The sequence below is a fragment of the Homo sapiens genome, chromosome 22 (genome assembly GCF_000001405.40).
Source record: "Homo sapiens chromosome 22, GRCh38.p14 Primary Assembly".
Classification (NCBI taxonomy): Eukaryota; Metazoa; Chordata; class Mammalia; order Primates; family Hominidae; genus Homo; species Homo sapiens.
The window spans coordinates 32462709-32474457 of record NC_000022.11 but is presented as its reverse complement, the minus strand read 5'-3'; the positions used below and the strand labels follow the sequence as shown (position 1 = coordinate 32474457).

General features: G+C 43.6%; 1 protein-coding gene across 3 annotated transcripts in view, besides 1 other annotated feature; it reads left to right on the top strand.

Annotated features, from left to right (window-relative positions):
• Positions 613 to 672: an enhancer, noted in NCBI's record as "active region_18877". NCBI's record gives its function as "activates an Ori minimal core promoter by ATAC-STARR-seq in GM12878 lymphoblastoid cells {active_cell/tissue: GM12878}" and the evidence as "EXISTENCE:reporter gene assay evidence [ECO:0000049][PMID:35858748]".
• Positions 10012 to 11749, top strand: part of BPIFC (BPI fold containing family C) — a 50602-nt gene continuing 48864 nt past the window's right edge. For all 3 annotated transcript variants that reach the window (XM_017028740.2, NM_174932.3, XM_047441302.1), the window contains exon 1: positions 10012 to 10084. The gene's annotated coding sequence lies outside the window, so the exon portion shown is untranslated. The remainder of the gene's footprint in view (positions 10085 to 11749) is intronic.

Here is an 11749-nt window from a genome sequence, read left to right as displayed (position 1 = left end):
CCTTAGGTTAATCCTTAGGTTGGCCGGGCGCGGTGGCTCACGCCTGTAATCCCAGCACTTTGGGAGGCCGAGGCGGGTGGATCGTTTGAGCCCAGGAGTTCGAGACCAGCCTGGGCAACATGGTGAAACCCCCCCCCCCATCTCTACAAAAAATACAAAAAATTAGGTGTGGTGGCGCCTGCCTGTAGTCCCAGCTAGTTGGGTGGCTGAGGCGGGAGGGTCGATTGAGCCCGGAGGTCGAGGCCTCAATGAGCTGTGATCGCACCACTGCACCTCAGCCTGGTTCCACAGAACGAGACCCTGTCTCAAAAAAAAAGTAGAACTATTTGTAGCCAGTAATCTATGTCCGACAGTTTATTAGAACTCTGTGGCTGCATAACAATCACCCCAAAGTTTAACGCAATAAACATTTGTTGTCCCACAGGTTTTAGAGGTAAAGGGATTTGGGGATGCGTGGCTGGGTGGTTCTGTCTCCAGGTCTCCCATGAGATTACAAACTGTAGGCCAGGGCAGCAGTTATTGACTAGGGCTGGAGGATCGGCCTCCAGGATGGCACAGTCATGACTGTTGGCCAGAGACCTGTTTTCACCACGTGAACCTCCCCATAGGGCTGTTTGAGTGTCCCCATGACATGGCAGCTGGCTTCCTTCAGAGCAGGTGATCCCAGAGAGACCAAGGTATAAGCCACAATGTCTTTTATGACCTAGCTCCAGAGGTCACATACGGCTTTTGTCATATTTACAAACCAACCCTATGTGTGAGAGGATCCAGCCAAAGGTATGAATGCCAACAGACAGGGATCGCTGCGGGCCATCCTGGAGGCTGGCTACCATAGAGGGTCTAACTAATGATAACTTAGATGAGAGAGAGTATCAAGTTTCGTCCTTGTGTGATAACCATAGTCCAAATCCTTAGAGTCAAATAAAGTTTCTCCCAATAGGTGGCAGCACTTGTCCACATCCTGCCCTTGATTCTGCAAATAAATATGTATTGATTGCCTACTTTGTGACAGATACCCCACATGCTGGAGACTCAAGAGACCAAAAAGACATGTTTCTGCCCATGCAAAGTTTACAGTTGAGTGAATCAGCTCTTTCAGTAGAGTGTAAAAAGTCTCTGCTTTATGATAGACATAAATACAGACCTGAGGAATGGGATTGTTAGAAATGTTTGTTTTTTGATGTTGTAAAGAAATAGCACTTGAATATAAATTTAATTTTTTTAGCAAGGCCATTTTTATTTTTTGTAGAAAGGGTATACTCGCCAGCAGTTTTGTCACGAGAGTACACCGAACAAAGGAGACAGGGTCATATATAACCTGATGTGTCCACTTTACTGCTGTGTCTGGTTTTTTGTTTGTTTTTGTTTTTTTTTGTTGTTGTTGTTGTTTGAGATGGAGTCGCGCTCTGTCGCCCAGGCTGGAGTGCAGTGGCGTGATCTCGGCTCACTGCAAGCTCCGCCTCCTGGGTTCACGCCATTCTCCTGCCTCAGCCTCCCGAGTAGCTGGGACTACAGGCACCCGCCACCACACCTGGCTAATTTTTGTATTATTATTATTATTATTATTATTATTATTATTATTATTATTTTATTATTATTTTAGTGGAGATGGGGTTTCACCGTGTTAGCCAGGATGGTCTCGATCTCCTGACCTGATCCGCCCGCCTCGGCCTCCCAAAGTGCTGGGATTACAGGCGTGAGCCACCGCGCCTGGCCTGTGTCTGGTTTTTATTGGCTGGAATGGGACTTTATATTTTGTATTTGTCTTGATTGGCTAGTAATTTAGAACTTTTTAAAAGAGGCAAAGGCAGAGGAGAACAAAGCAAGGAGGAAGTAACTTGTGGAATGTTGAGAAAGGTCAACACCCCTTTAAGGAAGAGGAATAGGCTATGACTTAATGTTTGTTTGAACTAGTATAAATATGTTAGGGCAAATATTTAGGCTAAATTGTGGGAGTTAAGATTGTAAAGTACATTGATTTTTTTATTATGGCTAGCAGATATTTAAGAATGTTAGCATGGGTGTTTGAATACATTTTGGTTTTAAGAGGGTACATAGAGGAGGTTTGCCATGCCCGTAGGATTCTTTAGTAGTGAGCAGTGAGGAATGGTGCCAGGACCAGGATGACTCTGTGTGACCAGAGTGATGGACAGCATAGGTACATCCCAGATAAAGAAGAGCCTTGGGCTAAGCACAGGGTTTGGGACATATTCTAGAATGTATGGGAAGCCGCTAGACAGTTTTTAGCAGGGAGTCTTTACTATCAGGGTTCTTAATTTTCAGCAGTAGAAGCTGACTCTGGCTGACTAAGCAGAAAAGGTGTGTATTAAAAGGATGCTGTACAGCTCAGGGAATTCTAGGGAGGATGGAGAAGTGGCCCCAGGCTAAGCTTCCAAGAATGAAGCTCAGAACCAAGCTGAAAACTGGCCTGATGAGGAAAATACTAAGACTGGGATTGCTGCTGGAGGAAATCGCCATCACAACTGCTGGGATTCACTGGGGAATGGCTGCCACTGCCACTGTTAACATCAAATCCCACATGCTTTTGCAGCCTCCTGCATAATGCCAAACTTCCAAAAGAGCCTGTTTCTTCACCTTGCTCACTTCCACATCAAAAGCTCATAGGGATGTCTGATTGAGGAAGTCTGGGCCCCACACCTGGGTCCTGGCTACAAAGGAGACTGGGAATTGGGGTCTGAACTCCTTCCTCGGGGAGGCAAGACGTAGAATATTGGAATTTCCTCCCGAAAAAGGGAAGGCTATTCAAAAGATGGTGGGAAGCCTTGAATCTGACAGGTGTATACTAACTACTAGGGCAGGCTCAGATCTGTAATGTGAATCTATCACTAGGGATTATGATAGGATGTGGGGGATAGATTAGGGTTTCTCAGCCTCAGCACTATTGACATTTTGGACCACTTAAGTCTTTGTTGCAAGAGGCGGTTCTGTGTGTAGAATGTTTAGCAGCATCCATGGTCGCTATCCACAAAATGCTAGTAGAACCGTCTCCCTCCCCAGTTGTAAGAACCAAAGATGCCAACTATTCCCTGGGAGGAAATGCCACCTTGAGAACCAGTGGATTAGAGACCAGCTCTGTCTCTGTAGAAGATTTTTTTAAAATCTGCCAAGCATGGTGGTGCCCACTTACAGTCCCAGCTAACTAGGGAGGCTGAGGTGGGAGAATGCTGGAGCCTGGGAGGTTGAGGCTGCAGTGAGCCGTGATCACACCACTGCACTCCAGCTTGGGTTACAGAGTGAGACCCTATCTCGAAAAATAAAAATTACAAATAAAAAGAGGGAGGGATAGGGACAAAGTTGGAGGCGGGGGGTGCGGTAATTTTCCCAATTTGATCTGTAAACTTCAGTAATTATTTGAATCCTTTATCACAAGAATGTGTTCACATATTTATTGGATAGTTAAGAAAAATGTTATTAGGAATATCAGCATCTGATCATAGAGAGGAATGCTGTTTTCTGCCGCAAGGGCTAAACAGAATACTTGAATATACCATATTTCAGTGGCTCTCAACTGTGGCGACTTTGCCTGACAGGAGATATTTGATATAGTATAGAAACATTTTGTCACAACTAGGGTAGGAGGTTGTGGTGCTATTGGCATCTAATAGTAGGGATGCTACTAAACATTATTTATTTATTTATTTATTTTTTAGAAGGAGTCTTGCTCTGTTGCCAGGCTGGAGTGCGGTGGCACAATCTCAGCTCACTGCAACCTCCGCTTCCAGGGTTCAAGCCATTCTCCCGCCTTAGCCTCCCAAGTAGCTGAGATTACAGGCGTGTGCCACCACGCCCAGCTAATTTTTGTATTTGTGGTAGAGACAAGGTTTTACTTCATTGGCCAGGGTGGTCTCGAACTCCTGACCTCAAGTGATCTGCCCGCCTTGGCCTCCCAAAGTGCTAGGATTACAGGCATGAGCCCCCGCACCTGGCCTGCTAAACATTCTAGTATAGACAGGACAGCCCCCTACAACCAAGAATTATGTAGCTCAAAATGCCAGCAGGGCCAAAGTAAGGAAATCCTGGTCTACTTGGATTGGGCTCACACCATCGATTCCCAGATGTTTCAGAGTAATATCACACTATCTTGTTTGTTTGGTTCCATAATACCCTTCATATCTCAAAAAGTCACATATGAATTTAAATTTTAGCATGAATTTAAGTTCATTTTGAACTGCAGTAAGATAATGTGACTCCCTTCTAGATAACTAGTAACAATGGAAGGAACCGACGTGAGTAGGTTCATTTGTCAAAACCAAGAGAGCATCACTGCTCTAAACCGTTCCAGAGCGTGACTGGTGTGAGAAGTCACAGTCTGAGTCAGTCATTGATGTCCACCCAGAAACATCATTACACAGACATCAATGGAGTGTGGCCTGCGACAGAGCAGGGACAAGAGGAGGAGCTACTGCTGGGTGATAGGATGATTCTGCCAGACTTCTCCCCAGCCCTCCCAGGATGAACTGTAAGATGACTCATCACCTTCAGAATCACATGAACTCCAGGCAGCTTCTTCTGGCTAGAAATAAACTAGCTATTTCAAACAAACACATAAATCTGCGCTACACAGATTCAATTAGCAGCTCAGAAAACCAGATGGGTTGCCTAGCAACAGCATCCTTCTCTCTTGCCACCTTCTGCGTACCCTGGGTTGTGTGTTGCCCTTTAGTGACCTTCCTAAAAAGTCAGCATAGTATAGTGGTAAAAAGGCATATCCTTGAAAACGGAACACCTGGGTCCTGAATCCTGGCTCCGCAACTTACTAGCTGTAATGTCTAAGCTTAGGCAAGTTGTCCCACCTAGCGAATGGAAATAATATTAGTTCTTTATACAGTCTTGATGAGTATTTAGTGAATTCATATATGGATGGTGCCCAGAACATAACAAACAATAAATGTTAGCTCTTATTTTTCTCTACCCTATGTATCCTTCTTTAGGGTTTCCTTTTAACCAGATTTCACCAACGCAAACATTGGGGGCAATGAGCGATTGGAACTCACAGTGTCTTTTGCCCCAAGACTGCCCTATGTGGCGCCTCCCTCCATATCCACATAATCCCTCTTCCCTCCCACTTTTGTCTCCTAGCAAGAATAATATAATTTGTCCTCCAATCTCAAAAATGTTTGATCTTCAGTTAGCTCTTTCTTTTTTTCTTTTTTCTTTTTTTTGAGACAGAGTCTCGCTCTGTCGCCCAGGCTGGAGTGCAGTGGCGTGATCTCGGCTCACTGCAAGCTCTGCCTCCTGGGTTCACACCATCCTCCTACCTCAGCCTCCCCAGCAGCTGGGACTACAGGCACACGCCGCCATGCCCGGCTAATTTTATGTATTTTTTTTTTTTTTTTAGTAGAGACAGGGTTTCACCGTGTTTGCCAGGATGGTCTCCATCTCCTGACCTCGTGAGCTGCCCTCCTCAGCCTCCCAAAGTGCTAGAATTACAGGTGTGAGCCACCGCGCCCGGCCTAGTTAGCTCTTTCTATATGGTTATAGCCCAGACATTCTAGAAACCAAGAACAGGGATGCTCAGTTCCCTAACACTATCTCTTGACATCTCGTTTTAATGAACAAGTATTTCTAGCCAGTTATTTATGATTTTTCTTTTGGAGTCTTAATTAAGAGTGTTCCCTGATCTGCAAAGACAAACACACTGTCAGCTATTTGACAGTGTAATAATTAATCTTGCATTTTAGATTGCCGTCATGAGTAGGCTGAAGAAGCAGGCATTCCCAGCAAATCTTCTGTTAAATATGGAAAGCTAAAATAAACAGTGAAACTGGATAGGGTGCTGCTGGCTTTTGTTGTTGATGTTTTTAAAGATGAATTTGGCAAATGTGCCCTAAACAGCTAATTAGGAAGGCTAATTAGCTGATTTCTAAGGCCTCTTCCAAATAAAAGACAACAGACTAGCTACACTCTCTTCTTAGATCTTTGTTTCCTAGACTCTAATTATTTGAGCCCCTTTTTCAGAAATTATTCTATGTCCTAAGGCTGGGTACGGTGGCTCATGCCTGTAATACCAGCACTTTGGGAGGCCGAGTCGGGTGGATCACAAGGTCAGGAATTCGAGAACAGCCTGGCAAACATGGCAAAACCCCATCTGTACCAAAAATTCAAAAATTAGCCAGGCGTGGTGGTGGCGCCTGTAATCTCAGCTACTCAGGAGGCTGAGGCAGGAGAATTGCTTAACCCAGGAGCGGGAGGTTGCAGTGAGCCGAGTTGGTGCCACTGCCCTCCAGCCTGGGCAACAGAGTGAGACTAAATCTCAAAAAAAAAAAAAAAAGTATTCTATGTCCCATGTGAGCTGTACTGTTATTTACTTTTTTTTCCCATAAATCAACCCACTTCTTAAAATGTATATAATCTTATTTAAAAGGGAAAAGTTATATAAAGGGGAAACTTTTTAAATTTCCTAATAGAGGGTAACTGTAAAAAGTAAATACCATGAAAACTGAACTTTGTATACTTCTTAAAAACAAACCTTGTTTAAGATATCTTTGTAATTATTAACTTTAAATAAAAATAGATGAAATGCATCTAATTTATTGACACTGTGTGAAAAACATAGGTGCTGCCTCGTCTAATTTCATTCTCAAAATGACTCTTCAAAGTAAATGTGAGCTCCACTTTTAGAGGTGATGGCTCTGAGACCTGGAAGTGAAGTAAATTGTTCAAGGACCCAGCGTTGGAATGGGTAGCGCAGGTCCAGGTCCAGGGGAGGCGAGAGCCCTCATGACTGCAAGGCGAATCTCTACACCTTGCACTGTCTCTCCTCACCATTCTCATTCAAGCCAACCTCCCTCTTCTATCTTGTGGCAGACTCCTGGAATATACAGCAATGATTCTGGGGTTTTCACCAAAGATGTGGTTAGACTTTCAGGTCTTTTGTAACAGGAAGAAAAAGTATTTGCATCAGGAAAGATGGAAAGATACTGTTATTTTATGGTTGTTTGTTTGTTTGTTTGTTTGTTTGTTTTGAGAGGGAGTCTCGCTCTGTTGCCCAGGCTGAAGTGCAGTGGCGAGATCTTGGCTCACTGCAAGCTCTGCCTCCCAGGTTCACCCCATTCTCCTGCCTCAGCCTCCTGAGTAGCTGGGACTACAGGCGCCCACCACCAAGCCCGGCTAATTTTTTGTGTTTTTAGTAGAGACGGGGTTTCACTGTGTTAGCCAGGATGGTCTTGATCTCTTGACCTCGTGATCTGCCCGCCTCGGCCTCCCAAAGTGCTGGGATTACAGGCGTGAGCCACCACGCCCAGCCGATTGTTGGTTTCTTTCTAACAGAGAAAAGGAATTGAGAATGAGCAGGGGATGGGCTGGGCAGGGGCCAGACAGTGAAGGTGGGAGCAGGGGAAGAAGATGGAGCCAAGAAGCTGCTCTGGAGAGGAGAGAAACGAAAGAGGAGACCTCGGACCCTGGAGAAGGACAGGGAGAGAGGGGGCGGGGGAGGAAATTGATGTTGCCACCCGGGGAAAATAGTGAGGAAAAGGTAGAAAGATGTAGAGGTGTTTTGTGATTTTTTTTTTCCATATAGTGCTTTTGATGTTGTCCTTCATCTTCCATGTTGTCCTTCGTCTTCCATGTCTAGCTCTGTATTTTTTCTAATGCACAGTACAATTTCAAGAGCTTCTCTGCATAGCGCCTGAACTCATCTTCCACACTTTCAGTAGCACATGCACGTGGGAAGCTGCCTGCAATGATCTCATTCATTTCTGTGGCTTTAACTCCACCTTTCGGATGATGACTTAGACATTCATATTTCCAGTTGACCTCTTCCCTGAACTCTACCCACCTGACATCACCATTTACATCTCGAATACCATAACTTCTGCCCCAACTCCATTTCAGACAAACTGGCTCACCTTTGCAGTTCCCTCCACCTTTTCCTTTCAGCACTTTGCCTGCCTGGCTTCCAACGGTCACATCTCAGCGCAAATAATCACCTCCTCAGAGACGCCCACGTGGGTATCCTGATAAAATAAGCCCACCTCCCCCAGTTGCATTGCTCTACCTATTACAAGACCACCTTACCAACAACATTCCCTTAGTTCCGTCACAGTACATGTCACAATTTATACATTTTTGTTTATTTTATTGTTTGCTTATTTATTTTGTCTCCATCGACTAGAACATAAACTCCTCGTGGACAAAAATTTCATCTTTTTTGCTGAAGAGGACTTTGCACATTGTAGGTGCTCAGTAAATCTGTTGATTGAATGAATGAATTCATCTATGATGACCGACAATAAATGATCCCATGAAGAGCGTCTCTGCACCGTATCATTATTGATACGGCCACGTGCTAATGAGTAGAATTTCACAGCAGTTTACAGTTTTAATAGCGCATTCTCATGTGTTATTATGTTTTTCTTCACCAGAACCAATCAAGGAAGTTACTATTTCTATCCCCACTTTACCTTAAGGAAACTCAGTTCAAATCAGTAAGTATAACCCAAGGTATAACTCCCCTGAGAAGCTGTGAGAAGTATGGACAATGCCAAGTGAAAGCGTCTGTGGTTCCTTTCAGACTGACTTATCATCCTGATTTTCCCAGGACTGTTCTGGTTTTAGTACTGAAAATCCTGCATTCTTGGGAAACCAGGACAGTTGGTCACCGGGTCTTACCCAGAAAAGTGTAGATAAGCCATAAGAACTTCATGCAATCAGGCTGGGTGCGGTGGATCATGCCTGTAATCCCAGGACTTTGGGAGGCCAAGGCAGGTGGATCACTTGAGGTCAAGAGTTCAAGACCAGCCTGGCCAACATGGTGAAACCCCATCACTACTAAAAATACAAAAATTAGCCAAGTTTGGTGGTGCACACCTGTAATTCCAGCTACTCAGAGGGCTAAGGCACAAGAATCGCTTAAACCCTGGAGGCAGAGGTTGTAGTGAGCCAAGATCATGCCACTGCACTCCAGCCTGGGTGACAGTGAGACTGTCTCAAAAAAAAAAAAACCAAAAAACAAAAAAAAAAACTTCATACAATCAAATCCCTGGCCATCTAAAATACATTAATGGCCGGGTATGATGGCTCACATCTGTAATCCCAGCACTTATGAAGCCAACACGGGTGGATCAATCACATGAGGTCAGGAGTTCGAGACCAGCCTGGCCAATGCAGCGAAACCCTGTCTGTACTAAAAATACAAAAAATTAGCTGGGCGTGGTAGCGCACTCCTGTAATCCCAGCTACTAGGGAGGCTGAGGCAGGAGAATTGTTTGAACCCAGGGGGCGGAGGTTGCAGTGAGCCAAGATCGCTCCACTGCACTCCAGCCTGGGTGACAGAGTGAGACTCCATCTCAAAAAATAAATAAATAAAAATAAAAATAGATAAAACACATTAACTAAAATGAATTTATTGGAGATGAGAGTAGGGCTGGAGTTTGGAATCTGAAAATGTTAAGTTGCATAATAGTTGATGAACCCACCCACCCAACTTAGGTTTAAGGAATGCTGGAACAGTAAGTCATTAATAACATTCTGAAAAGGAGCGGACGGACACTGAGAGATGCCAACTGAGGTCCTACCCTGAGTGATAAGGTAACTAGGTCAGCCCGATTGTCAAGCCTCATGCTTTCAGACTGAATCTGATGATCCACCACAAGTCCCAAAGGTATTCTGGGCAGTAGTAGAGCCATCCACCGCAGGCACCCTGACCAGAAGGAACCAGCTTATGATTCCAGACAGGAAAATTCTTCCTCTTCCAATGCAGTTTAACACCGTTTTCAATCATTTTGGTAAAGTAGCCATCACAATTTCACAAGTGGTGTGTGTGTGTGTGTGTGTGTGTGTGTGTGTGTGTTTTGCAGGAAGATAATTATTGCATAGGTGGCACTGTCTGTTTATCTAGGTAGATACTGTAGTGCTCATTCATGCCATTGGGTAATTGTAGTGAAGCAATTATGTATCACATTTTGAAAGAGGCATTAAAAAAATTCACCACTGAGATGAGTCAGACTTAATTATCTTGGCTTTTTAGCAGCTGAGTTTAAGGCGCAAGGTGGAGAACACATCAGCTTCAAAGGCAGAGAGAATCGAAGGTGCTCTCCAGCTTTGGACACTTCCTCTGCTTGAGGTAAGACTCATGAACAAACTTCAGGTCTCTGCCAGCCATGATCTCCAAACTGGAGATGTCCCAGATTTGGTAGGACACTTTGAACAGGCAGCTGTCATATATCCTGGGTTATTATTATTGTCTGCCTAGATTTTTCTGTATCTTTGTTTGTTTGTTTGTGTGATGTCACATATGCGCACCTGGAGGCTTCTTAGGCAAAAGCTTTAGTGACAGCTAAACAGCCATAAGAGAGAAAAGAGTTGGTTTAAACCACCTACTTAGTTTTGCATCATGGAACAATGTTAAGAGGGTTGCTCAGTGATCTGGACTTATTTTTGCCTCCATTTCAGAGGGGAACCCAGCACAGTGGCAGAAAATTCTATCTTGTCTCTCAAAATCAGCATGGTTAGGACTAAGGAGTTGTTATAATCTCTGTGCTTTCAAGGCAGGTCTTAAAGCACATCAGTGACCTAGATCCTGCCAGAGCAAAACTAGCCACCCACTTGCCTGGACTGTTGAACTTGTTGGTGTTAGGCATAGAGTTTTGGGGAAAAGACATGCTATGAATTCTCAAGGTCCTTGTCATTAGAGATGTTGCTATAAAACTAGATGTGAGGAGTGGATCCCTTGAAATATTCTGCCCACGTTCCATACCTGTCGATTTAGACTTCTTATGTACGGTCATTTTGTCTTAACCAATATGTCGGAATACCCTTCTAGTTTAGACTTCTTTAAACCTGTTGAACTTAATTTTTCAACCTGCGCCTCTGTTTTGAAGGCTACATTTTACTCATTCATTACTCCCTTAATCGGTTTTTCCAGAGTCAGTCAAAGCTCTTGCCAAGCAGCAGTAGTAGTAGGACCATCTGTGAGTTTCAGGTGTTTTCTAAATTGGACTGGCATTTTCTTAGCTGTCAGGATGACTCACACAAGGACCATTTAATTTAGGAGTATTATTCTGTCTGTGTATTTGTATGGAAAAATAATGACTACTGAGATTTTGAATCTTGGAAAGAAGCAATTCCCCAGAAGCAACAAAATAGATAACTTGCTGGTGGGGTTTTTAAGTGATCTTGGATCCTTTTAACAGGCAACTAGCCCTGCCTGCACTTGTCAGCCAAATTACTTAACCTTTTAGTAGTCATCACCTTGCTTGACAAGGTTCCTTTCCTCCCCTGCCCATAAGTTATCATCGTAACTGAACAATTCAATGAAAAGTTATGTACAATTCACCCCTTCATACCCCAGTAATTTCTTTCACTCATAAAATTTCTAGAGGAAAAATATGTTTTCCTGCCTGTAATTTTGGATTCCTGGATCTCCATCAAAGTGTACCACTTCAGAAACTTTTTTTAACCAAGAAGGGAAAACAGGTTTTACTGCTGGCAGGGAATTTAAAACTCCAGTTGTGTCCAAGAAAATAAGAAGGGATTTGCACTGTGATGCTTGAACGTTTCTAGATGCTTATTGAATTTTTCCACCTTGAAAATGGTGTTTGGTTTTCTGTGCACATGTACCCTAGAACTTAAAGTGTAATAAAAAAAATTGAGTAACTTTTAAACAACAACAACAAAAAGGAAAATGGTGTCAAGCAACTCCTATTTAAAATTCCCAGATGAAAATGAAAACCCTAGCATGTATCGAGTCATTCAATAAAAATAAATTCATCAACACTAGAATTAGGAA